The following is a 17,409-nucleotide window of genomic DNA, read 5'->3' as shown; positions in this document are numbered from 1 at the left end:
TCCAGTTAAAAAGAAAATGTACCTTTTCAAGGAGAGAAGGAAGAAGAGCAGAAGGCAATGATGCATGACCTGCAAATTGTATGTCGTGAGACGTGGCAAAAAGCTGAACTCTTGAGATATGACTCTGGAAAGCTTTAAGAGCAAAACTCTATCTCAAGAAATGAAATTATCATTTTAAATGAAGAAGGCAGCACTTTCAATTTGAAATTAGGCAGAAACTGTATAACATGAAAAAGCTGTAGTTCAGAAGAAGGTTGAAAGTATAAAGAAATCGATTTCAGAATTAAAATCAAATCCTCTTGCAAGTTTTTACTAGGCGTAGATCAATATTCTGAGAAAATCTTGTTGCTCTGGTCCTGCATCAGTGTATCCCTGAAACCAGGGCTAAATTCTGAAATTCCTTTCCGGAATCCCAGCCAACCCAATTATACACAAAACTCCCTTTCCAAGACCCATCTTTCATAAACCCTCCATGACTCGCTTAGACCTGCCATCATTTTCTTAAACCCTAGTGTGATGGCTAACGTTGAGTGTCAACTTGATTGGATTGAAGAATGCAAAGTACTGTTTCTGGGTGTGTCTGTAAGGGTGTTGCTAAAGGAGATTAACATTTGAGCCAGTGGACTGGGAGAGGCAGACCCACCCTCAATCTGGGTGGACACCATCTAATCAGCCGACAGCGCAGCTAGAATAAACCAGGCAGAAGAATGTGGAAAGACTAGACTGGCCGAGTCTCCTGGCCTTCATCTTTCTCCCGTGCTGGATGCTTCCTGCCCTCGAACATTGGACTCCAAGTTCTTCAGCTTTTGGACTCTTGGACTTAAACCAGTGGTTTGCCAGGGGCTCTCGGGCCTTCGGCCCAGACTGAAGGCTGCACTGTCAGCTTCCCTACTTTTGAGGTTTGGGGACTCAGTCTGGCTTCCTTGCTCCTCAGCTTGCAGATAACCTATTGTGGGACTTCACCTTGTGATCGTGTGAGTCAATACTCCTTAATAAACTCCCTTTCATATATACATCTAACCTATTAGTCCTATCCCTCTAGAGAACCCTGACTAATACACCCTTCTTTGTCCTACAGTGAAATTTATCCAGGAGAGAAGAAACAATAGTGCAGAGAAGAGATGGCAACAAGAGCAAAGTCCCTGAGAAAATGAGAGGAGATGGGATTGGAAGCACAATGGTGTGACTAGCCAGGTGTGTCTTCCACTGTTGCACTGGAGAAGCACTGAAGCACTACATATGAGCTCACAAGACCCTCCAGAGTTTTGATTTGTGGCCCAGAAGAAAGAAAGGTGGACAAGGATGAGAAGATTTGACTCGGATATCAGATTCACTAGGGAGGACTCAAGTTATCCAGCCTGAAATATCAGCAGCCTCTACCACGGATGGATGATTTGAACAGGCAAAGTACTTAGTAGCATTACTGTCTGAGGAAGATGTAGCCAGGGACGGGGAAAAGACACCATTATCCACTGGATTTGGAAGTCAGAAGGAACAACACCTGGCTCAGGAAGGCCACTGGCTGCTGGTGCTGTGTGTGGTAAAAACATTGGGATGACCCTGGAAATTGGGAAGGAATTCCCATTGGGAAAGCATTTCAAAGAACTAGAATAGTTAGAACTGGAAACAATGCCTCCCTGATCTCATCAATAGTACTTCTCTCAGACTCTCCCCTCAGCTCAACACTTTCCCAGGTTTCTGTTGAAAAGCAAAATCTAACTGTCCACATTTTGCTGCTAAAGATTCTCCAGAATATGTTCACTATTTAGCCGAACAGTGTGTCAGTTGTTTACTGACAGTTCTATCTTCTGGGCAAAGCATGCCAGTAATAGCTTCCCCAAATACACATGAGATACCCACACACACACTTAACTTTGGGAAATTAATTTACATTCCGTTTGTTAATAAAGCTGAAAAATTAAACTAAAGCAATAGGGAAAAAAATCCCTGCTTTCAAATGCATTTTTAAATCAAATTCCAAGTGATACCATGAGTTACATTTACTTTATAGAACAAAAAGTCCTCAGTGGTAAGAAATATATGGATTGTATTATATCCTTAAGATATTTTAAAAAATCAAAATCAATCCATTTTAAACATCTATCTTCACACCCTGACTTTAAAAAAAAGGATTTATCAATTAGTTTATCAAGCAATCTATGTGAAAAGGAGCAAGAATGTTTTAGCTTTAATATATTTTCTGATGCGTCTAAGAGAAAAAAATAAATCATTATGGATTGTGCAAAGTGCATTTTATCTTTCTCTCTAATGAGATAGTGAAACAAGAGACATTCATTGCCTCCCTAGAGAATCTCATGATTTACAAAGAATATCCTTCTCTGAAGCATTTACCCCTAAATGGCCAGCCTGTATAGTCAGTGATTACAGGGAATACGTCCAGGCCCCTCATGACCCCTTATCATTTTTCTGGCTAATGCATTAAAAGAGAAAGGGGGAAAAGTTGTAAAAAAGCACTGTGTTAGAGGCTCCCCTTCTTTCTGCCCTACAAGCAGTGTCCTTTAACCTCTGGCATGTGTTGCTGAGTCACATGACAGAAGTTAAAAGGCATAAAGAAGTAAATTTAACATGGAGCCCACAAGTGTCATCAGTAGATGGTTAGTCTTGGGAGAGAAGGAGAGGAGGAGAAGAGATGAAACTGGTCCCTGGACTTTTATGGGATGCAGAACAAGGACCCTGGAAGACAAGAAGGTCCAGAAATGGAAAGAATATGACTATTAGTACTTTCCAGGTCAGAACACACATAGGTGTGCCCTGAACTTCCTTCTTCAACAATAAATGCTGTCAAGAAAAATTACTATGAAATAAGCATACAAATACAAATCAGTGAGTGGTAACACAAATGTAAATATTGTAAGCTATATTTTTATTGGTGAGGTACCACGTTTAACAAGAAACCACAATGCCATATCTATGCTATTTGTATTTATTTATAATAGCTCAAGCTACATCTCTACCAGAAGAGTAAACAGCTCTATCAAAAAAATCTTGTCAAGAGAAAAAATATTTAACTATGCACTTGAAAAATTTGGGTTCTGAGGGGAGGAGCCAAGATGGCCGAATAGGAACAGCTCCGGTCTACAGCTCCCAGCGTGAGCGACGCAGAAGACGGGTGATTTCTGCATTTCCATCTGAGGTACCGGGTTCATCTCACTAGGGAGTGCCAGACAGTGGGCGCAGGCCAGTGTGTGTGCGCACCGTGCGCGAGCCGAAGCAGGGCGAGGCATTGCCTCACCTGGGAAGCGCAAGGGGTCAGGGAGTTCCCTTTCCGAGTCAAAGAAAGGGGTGACGGACGCACCTGGAAAATCGGGTCACTCCCACCGGAATATTGCGCTTTTCAGACCGGCTTAAGAAACGGCGCACCACGAGACTATATCCCACACCTGGCTCAGAGGGTCCTACGCCCACGGAATCGCGCTGATTGCTAGCACAGCAGTCTGAGATCAAACTGCAAGGTGGCAACGAGGCTGGGGGAGGGGGGCCCGCCATTGCCCAGGCTTGATTAGGTAAACAAAGCAGCCGGGAAGCTCGAACTGGGTGGAGCCCACCACAGCTCAAGGAGGCCTGCCTGCCTCTGTAGGCTCCACCTCTGGGGGCAGGGCACAGACAAACAAAAAGACAGCAGTAACCTCTGCAGACTTAAGTGTCCCTGTCTGACAGCTTTGAAGAGAGCAGTGGTTCTCCCAGCACGCAGCTGGAGATCTGAGAACGGGCAGACTGCCTCCTCAAGTGGGTCCCTGACCCCTGACCCCCGAGCAGCCTAACTGGGAGGCACCCCCCATCAGGGGCACACTGACATCTCACATGGCAGGGTATTCCAACAGACCTGCAGCTGAGGGTCCTGTCTGTTAGAAGGAAAACTAACAACCAGAAAGGACATCTACACCGAAAACCCATCTGTACATCACCATCATCAAAGACCAAAAGTAGATAAAACCACAAAGATGGGGAAAAAACAGAACAGAAAAACTGGAAACTCTAAAACGCAGAGCGCCTCTCCTCCTCCAAAGGAACGCAGTTCCTCACCAGCAACAGAACAAAGCTGGATGGAGAATGATTTTGACGAGCTGAGAGAAGAAGGCTTCAGACGATCAAATTACTCTGAGCTACGGGAGGACATTCAAACCAAAGGCAAAGAAGTTGAAAACTTTGAAAAAAATTTAGAAGAATGTATAACTAGAATAACCAATACAGAGAAGTGCTTAAAGGAGCTGATGGAGCTGAAAACCAAGGCTCGAGAACTACGTGAAGAATGCAGAAGCCTCAGGAGCCGATGCGATCAACTGGAAGAAAGGGTATCAGCAATGGAAGATGAAATGAATGAAATGAAGCGAGAAGGGAAGTTTAGAGAAAAAAGAATAAAAAGAAATGAGCAAAGCCTCCAAGAAATATGGGACTATGTGAAAAGACCAAATCTACGTCTGATTGGTGTACCTGAAAGTGATGTGGAGAATGGAACCAAGTTGGAAAACACTCTGCAGGATATTATCCGGGAGAACTTCCCCAATCTAGCAAGGCAGGCCAACGTTCAGATTCAGGAAATACAGAGAACGCCACAAAGATACTCCTCGAGAAGAGCAACTCCAAGACACATAATTGTCAGATTCACCAAAGTTGAAATGAAGGAAAAAATGTTAAGGGCAGCCAGAGAGAAAGGTCGGGTTACCCTCAAAGGAAAGCCCATCAGACTAACAGCGGATCTCTCGGCAGAAACCCTACAGGCCAGAAGAGAGTGGGGGCCAATATTCAACATTCTTAAAGAAAAGAATTTTCAACCCAGAATTTCATATCCAGCCAAACTAAGCTTCATAAGTGAAGGAGAAATAAAATACTTTATAGACAAGCAAATGCTGAGAGATTTTGTCACCACCAGGCCTGCCCTAAAAGAGCTCCTGAAGGAAGCGCTAAACATGGAAAGGAACAACCGGTACCAGCCGCTGCAAAATCATGCCAAAATGTAAAGACCATCGAGACTAGGAAGAAACTGCATCAACTAATGAGCAAAATCACCAGCTAACATCATAATGACAGGATCAAATTCACACATAACAATATTAACTTTAAATATAAATGGACTAAATTCTGCAATTAAAAGACACAGACTGGCAAGTTGGATAAAGAGTCAAGACCCATCAGTGTGCTGTATTCAGGAAACCCATCTCACGTGCAGAGACACACATAGGCTCAAAATAAAAGGATGGAGGAAGATCTACCAAGCCAATGGAAAACAAAAAAAGGCAGGGGTTGCAATCCTAGTCTCTGATAAAACAGACTTTAAACCAACAAAGATCAAAAGAGACAAAGAAGGCCATTACATAATGGTAAAGGGATCAATTCAACAAGAGGAGCTAACTATCCTAAATATTTATGCACCCAATACAGGAGCACCCAGATTCATAAAGCAAGTCCTGAGTGACCTACAAAGAGACTTAGACTCCCACACATTAATAATGGGAGACTTTAACACCCCACTGTCAACATTAGACAGATCAACGAGACAGAAAGTCAACAAGGATACCCAGGAATTGAACTCAGCTCTGCACCAAGCAGACCTAATAGACATCTACAGAACTCTCCACCCCAAATCAACAGAATATACATTTTTTTCAGCACCACACCACACCTATTCCAAAATTGACCACATAGTTGGAAGTAAAGCTCTCCTCAGCAAATGTAAAAGAACAGAAATTATAACAAACTATCTCTCAGACCACAGTGCAATCAAACTAGAACTCAGGATTAAGAATCTCACTCAAAGCCGCTCAACTACATGGAAACTGAACAACCTGCTCCTGAATGACTACTGGGTACATAACGAAATGAAGGCAGAAATAAAGATGTTCTTTGAAACCAACGAGAACAAAGACACCACATACCAGAATCTCTGGGACGCATTCAAAGCAGTGTGTAGAGGGAAATTTATAGCACTAAATGCCTACAAGAGAAAGCAGGAAAGATCCAAAATTGACACCCTAACATCACAATTAAAAGAACTAGAAAAGCAAGAGCAAACACATTCAAAAGCTAGCAGAAGGCAAGAAATAACTAAAATCAGAGCAGAACTGAAGGAAATAGAGACACAAAAAACCCTTCAAAAAATCAATGAATCCAGGAGCTGGTTTTTTGAAAGGATCAACAAAATTGATAGACCGCTAGCAAGACTAATAAAGAAAAAAAGAGAGAAGAATCAAATAGACACAATAAAAAATGATAAAGGGGATATCACCACCGATCCCACAGAAATACAAACTACCATCAGAGAATACTACAAACACCTCTACGCAAATAAATCAGAAAATCTAGAAGAAATGGATACATTCCTCGACACATACACTCTCCCAAGACTAAACCAGGAAGAAGTTGAATCTCTGAATAGACCAATAACAGGCTCTGAAATTGTGGCAATAATCAGTAGTTTACCAACCAAAAAGAGTCCAGGACCAGATGGATTCACAGCCGAATTCTACCAGAGGTACAAGGAGGAACTGGTACCATTCCTTCTGAAACTATTCCAATCAATAGAAAAAGAGGGAATCCTCCCTAACTCATTTTATGAGGCCAGCATCATTCTGATACCAAAGCCGGGCAGAGACACAACCAAAAAAGAGAATTTTAGACCAATATCCTTGATGAACATTGATGCAAAAATCCTCAATAAAATACTGGCAAACCGAATCCAGCAGCACATCAAAAAGCTTATCCACCATGATCAAGTGGGCTTCATCCCTGGGATGCAAGGCTGGTTCAATATACGCAAATCAATAAATGTAATCCAGCATATAAACAGAGCCAAAGACAAAAACCACATGATTATCTCAATAGATGCAGAAAAAGCCTTTGACAAAATTCAACAACCTTCATGCTAAAAACTCTCAATAAATTAGGTATTGATGGGACGTATTTCAAAATAATAAGAGCTATCTATGACAAACCCACAGCCAATATCATACTGAATGGGCAAAAACTGGAAGCATTCCCTTTGAAAACTGGCAAAAGACAGGGATGCCCTCTCTCACCGCTCCTATTCAACATAGTGTTGGAAGTTCTGGCCAGGGCAATCAGGCAGGAGAAGGAAATAAAGGGTATTCAATTAGGAAAAGAGGAAGTCAAATTGTCCCTGTTTGCAAACGACATGATTGTTTATCTAGAAAACCCCATCGTCTCAGCCCAAAATCTCCTTAAGCTGATAAGCAACTTCAGCAAAGTCTCAGGATACAAAATCAATGTACAAAAATCACAAGCATTCTTATACACCAACAACAGACAAACAGAGAGCCAAATCATGAGTGAACTCCCATTCACAATTGCTTCAAAGAGAATAAAATACCTAGGAATCCAACTTACAAGGGATGTGAAGGACCTCTTCAAGGAGAACTACAAACCACTGCTCAAGGAAATAAAAGAGGACACAAACAAATGGAAGAACATTCCATGCTCATGGGTAGCAAGAATCAATATCGTGAAAATGGCCATACTGCCCAAGGTAATTTACAGATTCAATGCCATCCCCATCAAGCTACCAATGACTTTCTTCACAGAATTGGAAAAAACTACTTTAAAGTTCATATGGAACCAAAAAAGAGCCCGCATCGCCAAGTCAATCCTAAGCCAAAAGAACAAAGCTGGAGGCATCACACTACCTGACTTCAAACTATACTACAAGGCTACAGTAACCAAAACAGCATGGTACTGGTACCAAAACAGAGATATAGATCAATGGAACAGAACAGAGCCCTCAGAAATAATGCCGCATATCTACAACTATCTGATCTTTGACAAACCTGAGAAAAACAAGCAATGGGGAAAGGATTCCCTATTTAATAAATGGTGCTGGGAAAACTGGCTAGCCATATGTAGAAAGCTGAAACTGGATCCCTTCCTTACACCTTATACAAAAATCAATTCAAGATGGATTAAAGATTTAAACGTTAGACCTAAAACCATAAAAACCCTAGAAGAAAATCTAGGCATTACCATTCAGGACATAGGCGTGGGCAAGGACTTCATGTCCAAAACACCAAAAGCAATGGCAACAAAAGCCAAAATTGACAAATGGGATCTAATTAAACTCAAGAGCTTCTGCACAGCAAAAGAAACTACCATCAGAGTGAACAGGCAACCTACAACATGGGAGAAAATTTTCGCAACCTACTCATCTGACAAAGGGCTAATATCCAGAATCTACAATGAACTCAAACAAATTTACAAGAAAAAAACAAAGAACCCCATCAAAAAGTGGGCGAAGGACATGAACAGACACTTCTCAAAAGAAGACATTTATGCAGCCAAAAAACACATGAAGAAATGCTCACCATCACTGGCCATCAGAGAAATGCAAATCAAAACCACTATGAGATATCATCTCACACCAGTTAGAATGGCAATCATTAAAAAGTCAGGAAACAACAGGTGCTGGAGAGGATGTGGAGAAATAGGAACACTTTTACACTGTTGGTGGGACTGTAAACTAGTTCAACCATTGTGGAAGTCAGTGTGGCGATTCCTCAGGGATCTAGAACTAGAAATACCATTTGACCCAGCCATCCCATTACTGGGTATATACCCAAAGGACTATAAATCATGCTGCTATAAAGACACATGCACACGTATGTTTATTGCGGCACTATTCACAATAGCAAAGACTTGGAACCAACCCAAATGTCCAACAATGATAGACTGGATTAAGAAAATGTGGCACATATACACCATGGAATACTATGCAGCCATAAAAAATGATGAGTTCATGTCCTTTGTAGGGACATGGATGAAATTGGAAATCATCATTCTCAGTAAACTATCGCAAGAACAAAAAACCAAACACCGCATATTCTCACTCATAGGTGGGAATTGAACAATGAGATCACATGGACACAGGAAGGGGAATAACACACTCTGGAGACTGTGGTGGGGTCGGGGGAGGGGGGAGGGATAGCATTGGGAGATATACCTAATGCTAGATGACACTTTAGTGGGTGCAGCGCACCAGCATGGCACATGTATACATATGTAACTAACCTGCACAATGTGCACATGTACCCTAAAACTTAGAGTATAATAGAAAAAAAAAAATTAAAAAAAAAAAAGAAAATCTATAACCTTAAAAAAAAAAAAAAAGAAAAATATCCCATTTTAATAAAGGATAATGCATATTAGAAAAAAAAAAAAAAAGAAAAATTTGGGTTCTAGTCTCAAACGCTGAAACTTAGAATTAATTAAATTTTTTTGTTAACTTATATTCTTCTCATTTTAGCATATTTCTTCCTCTTTCCTGTTGGTCTCCATGTGCTGCCAAAATGATGCATAATCCCCAGGGTTTACGAGTCTTCATTCTCTGTAAAGTAGGGGTTTTTTCCCAGAGATAGGGAAGGTATCAGGAAAAAAGGAACAGTTAACCGGGTTATAGCTAATTTTACCTCGCTTATCTTTCAGAAAACTATCTCAGTTTGCCATGGTCCTGGATCCCTTCTCTGTAAAAGGTCCACTTTATCATCTTTGTCTTACTCTGAAATGCTTAACTTACTTAAGAATTTCAGCACTGAGATGTATACATACACACACACCCAGAGACACAGAGACATATTCGTATCACTTTATTGAGATATATTTCACATACCATACAATTCTCTTAAAGTGTACAATTCAGTGGTTTTCAGCATATTCACAGAGTTGTGAAACCATTGCCACAATCATTTTTATAACAGAAACATAGCTTCTAAATTCCCTGAGTCATCATACAGATAGAAACCAAGGTCCAGATGGGTTAAGTTATGTTCCCAAGGTTACAGAGCTGGTCAGTGGCTGAGCCAGACCTAGATCCCTGGAAATTATTTTAGCCATTGACATCATCTGGGGCTCCCTTCCCCTGCCCCAGGTAAGTTCTGTATGAATTAAAACCTGCTGTTAAAATGTTGTCTGAGAAAAACATCTGGCATTTTTTATTATTGAGCTCCCTCATATTATATTAAACCGGTCTGATTTCTCCACCAAATTGTTGCATTGCAAGATTTTTTAGAAAGACTTCTAGAACATATTAAAACATATCTACTGAGTACTTTTAACCACAAAACATGGCTATGAAGCCCAGAGAGAATCTGTGATGCCTCTCCTTTCAGGTAAAGTCATAAATTATTTCCGCTCATGCGAAAAAAAAAAAAAAAAAGACTAAATAAGACGTTCTGTTCATTTCATTTTTAATGTACTGATTACAGGTAGTTAAACCAAACTACCCATGACTAGCAAAATATTTCTCCAGTGCCAATAACTTCCAAGGATTTCAACCATTCATTCTGGTTACTGTCAGAAACCAACTTAAATCACCCAAGGGCTTACGTTATCTCTGAGATTTGCTTATCTTTGAGATTTGCCCCTGTGAAGTCCATACCCAATAAAGGAAAAGTTTTCAAAAGAGGAGGTTCATTTCCTGCCAGTGCTAAGGAAGCCAATGTAACAAGTACAGCCAGCGATTACTCTGGCACTGCTCTGCTCTGCTCTGCTCACAGCAGCACTCGGCCTCCTGGCTGTACCAGCTGAGGACACTCCACAATACCTAGCTCACTGAAGCACTTGTTGATTGCTCCTGCCTTTAAATGTCCCCCTTCCATGATGGTCTTCTCTCTCCTGTCATCTACGAGTTCTTTCTTTCCTGTGTTGTGCCACCCCAAAATTTCATCTATTCAATAAATATTTATTGAGTGGTCACTGCTCAACAATTACTGGGCTAAACATTGTCCCTAAATGGGGGTGCTGTCTAGAGTCTGCCTTTAACTCGCTGTGCCTTTTCTCACTTTTGTCTACACATACATTTTTAAATCTCCGCTTAGGCTGGAAATCACCAAAAATCTGTAGCTCCAGTACCAGCCTCACCCCCTGAGCTGCAGGTCAGGATATGCACCCCAACCCAGGCCAGTGACATGTGAATGTCCCAAAGACCCCTCAAAGTCCCTGGGTTCAGTGGTGAATCCATCATCTCCACCCTCACCTGAATAGCCTCTCCTCCAGGGCTCCTTAACACCTTGAATAGCACCACTGTCCACCCAGTGCCCCCAGCTAGAAACAGCATCACCCAGTTTCCATATGGAAAGAGTGTGAGTGAGGGGACAGCAGTGCCTTTCAGCCTGGAACTGGGGCTAGAAGAAGAGAATCTTCTAATTGCAGTTGCTTTCTATGGGCCAATTTGTGGGAGAAGCAGGATGAGACCTCACCACAAATGTGGACGTTGAATGAAATCTGTCTACCCTGGCTCTAGCAAAATGGGGGCTGGGGTTGCGGGGAGAGGTGGTGAGAAGCAACAGACCCAGCGGTGCTGGTGGGGAACAGGTTTTACAACGTGAGCTCTGCCATAGCTGGAAGAGCCTGCAATGTTGATGTTGAAAAACAAATTTGCTTGTCATCAACACACACACACACACACACACACACACACACACACACATCAATTTCATGTCTCCCCTCCTGTTTTCCTGTTTCCTCTGCTCAGAACGGCTTTCCTCCTATCATCCCACACCCTCAGCCATAATTCTTCCTCATACTTAATTCTCAAATGACATGTCTCCTCCTCCGGGAAGCTCTCCCTGACGCCCCCACTGTGTTATTTGTCATCCTCTGTGCGTGGAGGTGTGTCTAGCACTGTTTGTTTACGTGTCTGTCTCCGTGTCTCCCCTGCAGGCTGTCAGCTCTGTAAGAGCAGAAGCGTGATGCCCAGCCCCGGGCCGACACCGGGAAGACGGTGGGGAGGGGAAGGACCGCGGTAGAGAGCCCCAGCCGGGGAGCCGGGCACAGTCCAGACGGGGCCATTTCGATGCGCGCGCGGGGAGCTCAGCGGGACACAGCCAAGCGCCAAATACACAGCATCTCTGGAGGCGCCGGTGGCCGGTGGAGGATGGGCCCCCCACGAGGCTCTCCCAACCAAACGGCTGGAGACTCGGGGGAGGCCCTGCCGGCATCGTACTCCCTGTGGTCGTCCTCCCCTCGCGCGGGTAGGGGCCCCCCCACGCCCACTCCGTCTCCGCCTCCCGAGTCCCCGCGGCCGCCACCTCTGCCCTCCGCTCCGCAGAATCTCTCCGATTTACAACGGCCCAGGGCAGAGCCGGGGGCCAGGGAATGGGAAGGAGAAGGCGCCAAGACGCCGAGGAGAGAGCAGGCGGCCCCTCACCCCACCCTCGCGCCCTCCTAGGCGGGAAGAAATTGAGCCCCGAGAGAGGCCCTTCAGGGAACAGGAGTCCCAAAGGCCCGGGAGCCTCGGGGGGCCGCAGCCTCCGCGTCCCCCTCCCTCCTTCCCTCCTCTGCGCCTCCCTACCTGGCTGGCTTTGTGGAACTGCTTCTTCAGCCCGGCCACCGACATCGCGACTGCGACCGGCAGGGGCGGGGTGGTCTCAAGGCTCGGCTGGGCCACGCGGCCGCGACGCGCTCGGGGAGCGGGAGCCCGGGCCGGTCCCCCCGCGGCTGGGCTCCGCCGGGCCCGCCTCCCACGGCCACGGCCACAGCCACAGCCGCTGTCACACTCGCACACACGCGCGCACGCCGATGGCAACACTGCGTTCCAAAGCCCCTGCGCAGCCCATTGGCCAAGCCGCGGCGATATGCAAATGAAGCTGCTGGGGCCGCCCACGCTTCATTGTTGCGTGGAGACCTGGGCTACTTGAGCCGCGCAGAAGACCGGCCTGGGAAGCTGGGCGTGGGGATGTCCTGGGGGTCGGGGGAGTACAGTCACACAGTGCTTCTTGCTGGGCGCGGGACGATATAGATCTAGCTCTGAGATTGTCATGGGTACCGGGAGAGAGATCAGTTCTCTCTGCTTCTGTCTTGGTGCCGAACCGGCTTTGGCTCACAGGCAACATCGCCTCCCTCCGGCGCATTTTCGCTCGGTGTATGTTTAAGAAAGGAAGGCTCAGAAATGCGCCTAGGGAGGGACAACAAATGCAACTCGATGGGGGACCTGTGGTAGGAGGAAGCGGTCTGTGGGTGGCGGGCTTTCTTCTCTCTCCACGCGGTGCTCTGGGTGCAATCTGCTCAAATGATTTTGGTCTTCTGGGAGCCCTAGAGTTATGGAGTAATTTACTAATAAATACGGTGCTAGCTCACTTGGTGCTCTGAGCCCGCTGTCAACGGCACTAAAAGCAACCATCTCCAAGGTGCCATAAAGAGCTCGTTGCATATCCGGCGGAGTCCACCAGACCAGGAACCCAGCTCTCTCGGTAACCCCTACCAGCTGTGTCAGTTACAGAGTGTCCATTTGCACAGAGTCCAGAGGTCGACGCACTCACAGCTAAGCCCAGCCAGGGACATGGAGCATTGCGTTAACCTCGTGTTAGAGCTATCCCCAAAAGGTACAGCATCTTCGCTGAATCTGGCTTCCAAAGGTCCCGAGGATTCCCAAACCTAGAATATATGTTTGGCAACGCTTCACACTGAAAAACAAAAACATTTCCCACCTTCAGTCTCTTTTTGGGCCCTTAGCAGGTCCCATCTGGGGTGACGAGCAGTCCCTGTCTGCCCTGGACACTTCGGGTATATGCCTGTGCCCTGGTGTCCACCTGCCATAACATTTCTCCAGGACAAAAGTCATGCAGTTCCTCCCCTAGCTGTTAGCTCCCAGCGCCCAGTCGGGGCTAGTCCTAACCCTGACTTCATCCTAGTGAGGACTGGGCAAGTAAGTACACACCTCTCTGGGCCTTGGTTTCCTCACTTCTACTTGAAGCATGTAGACTGGAATAAACAGTGTTCCTCCTCTGATACTGGGGAAAAAATGCTTGAACTTAGTGGAGATCGTGGGATAAGGGCAGCCAGTCAGAGGGTTAATGAGCATGACTTGGGTGAGTGTTGTGGGCTTACCTGCCTGACACCAGCCACTGATAGATAACTAAAAAGTGTGAGGGTGGTGACAGCTGGGTCAGAATGGCGTAGCAAGATGACCTGTCCATACAACAGTTCAAATGCCTCTCAACAGTGGGCTTCACCGCAGGCCAACCACTACATAAGGCAGAGAGCCAGCTGCAGCTGGAGTCCAGGATTGGCAGGTCTCTCTTGTCCTAGGCTATTCAGGGCTGCTCAGCTTCCTCTTTCTCCATGCTCCAGAGAGGTTTAAATAGCACCGGTTCTATGGTACCTCCCCCTAGACCAATCCGGCTCTGTGCCCTTTGGGAGGAGGGGGGTGCTTTTTTTTCAAACAGTTTATTGGCATTTCCTCCACAGTCGTTAGTACATTCAAGTTTCTCACTTCAGTTGATTTTGGTAATTTATCTCCTTCATTAATCAAGTATAGAGTTGAAGATCATACTTTTTAAACTTCAGAATCTTTCATATACATTTTCTCCTTTGTAAAAGTTTTTGTGATTTGTCTTAATTTTTTCAGTGAATAGATTTATTGGAGGTTTGCTGATTTTATTGGTCTTTCAAAATATTTTTGAAGGTACTCATCATTGCTACAGATTTTTCTCTCTCATTGATTTTTCTTTCATTATTCTTACACATTCCTTCCTTCACTTTTGTTCAGAAGACTAGTGAGAGTTTGAGGGTTTTAACAATAGAAACTGACTCTAGCTAACATAAGCTGGAAAATATGTATTGGAGAAGGATGTCAGGCAGCCTGGAGATTCACAGGAGGGGTGTAGGGAACAAGGTGGAGGGGATGAGCAGGAATTAGGAATCTGAGCACTGAGATCCACAGGGTGTCCAGGAACAGCTTGATTGGGATATGCTGGCTCTGCCACTGAGCCCTGGCCATGGCTACCAGAATGAAGGCTGCCCTTTCAGGCAGTCACTCCAGCTGCATAGTAGCAAGGGCAGCATCTGATTGGTGGATTCACTCCATGGCAGATTTCCCTACTATAGGAGGAAGCTTCAGAGGTTAGGCAGCCAAATTTTATATATATATATATTATATCATATATTATATATATATAATATATACATTCTTTAATATATACCATGTTAGAGAATATATAATATATATTAGAGAATATATATAAAAATAATATATATAAGCAACAACAAATGCCCATTAAAGTGTATTTGGGTATCCTTAATCTCATGTCTTTTATTTATTTTTATAAAACTATAAATTTTCCTCCTGAGTATGGCTTTGGTTTCATACCTTGTTTTCATGAATGATATGGATCTCCTATTTTCTAAATAAAACTTGTCATTACAGTTTTGAGTTCCTCTTTGATCCAAATGTTATTCAGGATAATTTTTTAAAAAGCTTTTCTAGGCTGGGCATGGTGGCTCACGCCTATAATCCCAGCACGTTGGGAAGCCGAGGCAGGCAGATCACGAGGTCAGGAGAGCGAGACCATCCTGGCTAACACGGTGAAACCCCATCTCTACTAAAAAGTACAAAAAATTAGCCAGGCGTGGTGGCGGGCACCTGTAATCCCAGCTACTCGGGAGGCTGAGGCAGGAGAATGGCATGAACCTGGGAGGCGGAGCTTGCAGTGCGCCAAGATCGCACCACTGCACTCCAGCCTGGGCGACAGAGTGAGACTCAGTCTCAAAAATAAAAAAAATTAAAAAAATTAGCTGGTCATGGTGGTGCATGCCTGTAGTCCCAGCTACTCTGGAGGCAGAGGCAGGAGAATCACTTGAACTCAGGAGGTGGTGGTTGCAGTGAGCCAAGATGGTGCCACTGCCCTCTAGCCTGGGCGACAGAGTGAGACTCTGTTTAAAAAAAAAAAAAAAAAAAAAAAAACCTTTTCTAGGTGGTTTGATTTTTTAAAATTTATTCTATGTTAAATTCTAGACTTGTGATACTATCGTCAAATAACATGTCTTGAAAGGTTTTTTTTAAACATAGCCTGTCATGTTTCATTGTAAACACATATCATAGAGGTTTGAAATACTGTTCATTTTGTGTTTCTAATGTACAGTTTTTTAGTTCATCTGTAACAAGAGTGTGTATTCTACACAGCTTCTAGCTCAGAGGAAGATTTCCAACTCATGCTAGCTAGAGCCCCCTTGGCCAGCTCAAGGCTTTCCCCTTCACGTCACCATCACCCTTCAATCACTAAGGGCCCACAGCTCCTCTGTTTAGGGAAGGGGGGTACAAGTGTATACAAGTGTCCTGGACTGTTTGACAGATTTGTCTACATATGGAATGAAATTGATGGGGACTGGGAAGTGTCCTGAGGCACTGACACACATCCCTCTGAACTGAAGGATTTTTGGGCATTTGGTGGTCTTCACAAGTCAATGACAAGAGGGACACTGTGGTTGTCTCTGGCACTCTGCCAGATGGCCCATGTTCTGGCAGAGGTTTCAGTGTTCTCTTAAGCTCTTTTTCTTTTTTTCTTTTCTTTTTTTTGGAGATGGAGTCTCGCTCTGTCGCCCAGGCTGGAATGAGGTGGCACAAACTTGGCTCACTGCAACCTCCACCTCCTGGGTTCAGGTGATTCTCCTGCCTCAGCCTCCCAAGTAGCTGAGACTACAGGCATGCACCACCATGCCCAGCTAATTTTTTTTTTGTATTTTAGTAGAGACGGGGTTTTCCGGAGCTGAGGCAATCAGCCCACCTCAGCTTCCCAAAGTGCTGGGATTACAGGCGTGAACCACTGCTCCTGGCCTATGCTCTTTTTCTTGTGGCCTTTGACTCACCTCCAGGCCAGCTTTTGAGTCTAATGAGTATTTGCATTCCTTGTGTCTGGTTCTGTAGCAAGTGACTCATATCTATCTGGGGGGCATTGTTGGGGGGCAGAAGAATTCTGGGTAGGGGTTAGAAGGGGAGGGAAGCATGCTTATTAATGTTCAAAATATCCCATCATATATCTCATAAATCAGGTATGAGCATGTTCAAATGCTCTGTGTTCCAATATTTTTCTTTTTTTTTTTTTTTTTTTTTTTTTGAGATGGAGTCTCGCTCTTTCGCCCAGGCTGGAGTGCAGTTGCGCTATCTCGGTTCACTGCAAGCTCTGCCTCCTGGGTTCACACCATTCTCCTGCCTCAGCCTCCCGAGTAGCTGGGACTACAGGCGCCCGCCACCGTGCCCAGCTAATTTTTTGTATTTTTAGTAGAGACGGAGTTTCACCATGTTAGCCAGGATGGTCTCGATCTCCTGACCTCGTGATCCGCCCGCCTCGGCCTCCCAAAGTGCTGGGATTACATATTTTTCTACTTTATTCGTCAAAGAGAGGTACTATATTCTACTCTACAATCTCTTGCTACAATTGTGATTATGTCTGTTGCGTCTTATATTTGGGACTTTTGTTCTAAACATTTCAGTGCTATGGTATTCTGTTTATAGGTATTTATTATTGTCATATCTTCCTTGTCGATTTTTTCTTTTATCTGTAGAAAAAAACATATTTTGTCCTACTTACAGCTTTTTGCCTTCTATTTTACTTTGCCACATACCCATATTTGTATCCTTACTTTTTGTGTATATGTGCTTCTTATGTCTTA

At 44.3% G+C, this 17,409-nt stretch overlaps 1 protein-coding gene across 22 annotated transcripts in view, besides 2 other annotated features; it reads right to left on the bottom strand.

The window, feature by feature from the left end:
* The window catches only part of SH3GL3 (SH3 domain containing GRB2 like 3, endophilin A3), a 186,480-nt gene extending 173,929 nt beyond the window's left edge, over positions 1-12,551 (bottom strand). For all 22 annotated transcript variants that reach the window (XR_007064483.1, XR_007064484.1, NR_136711.2 and 19 more), the window contains exon 1: positions 12,314-12,551. Coding sequence is in view for 2 of the 22 variants with exons in the window: in NM_001324182.2 (NP_001311111.1) it covers positions 12,314-12,358 (45 nt within the window). In the remaining 20 variants the exon portion in view is untranslated. The remainder of the gene's footprint in view (positions 1-12,313) is intronic.
* Positions 3,358-3,962: an enhancer, noted in NCBI's record as "NANOG-H3K27ac-H3K4me1 hESC enhancer chr15:84124682-84125286 (GRCh37/hg19 assembly coordinates)". NCBI's record gives its function as "activates a minimal SCP1, AML or CMV promoter by ChIP-STARR-seq in primed H9 embryonic stem cells {active_cell/tissue: H9 hESC(primed)}" and the evidence as "EXISTENCE:reporter gene assay evidence [ECO:0000049][PMID:30033119]".
* Positions 12,696-12,855: an enhancer, noted in NCBI's record as "active region_9973". NCBI's record gives its function as "activates an Ori minimal core promoter by ATAC-STARR-seq in GM12878 lymphoblastoid cells {active_cell/tissue: GM12878}" and the evidence as "EXISTENCE:reporter gene assay evidence [ECO:0000049][PMID:35858748]".

This window comes from Homo sapiens, chromosome 15 (genome assembly GCF_000001405.40).
Source record: "Homo sapiens chromosome 15, GRCh38.p14 Primary Assembly".
Taxonomy (NCBI): Eukaryota; Metazoa; Chordata; class Mammalia; order Primates; family Hominidae; genus Homo; species Homo sapiens.
This window is presented reverse-complemented; position numbering and strand designations above follow the sequence as displayed.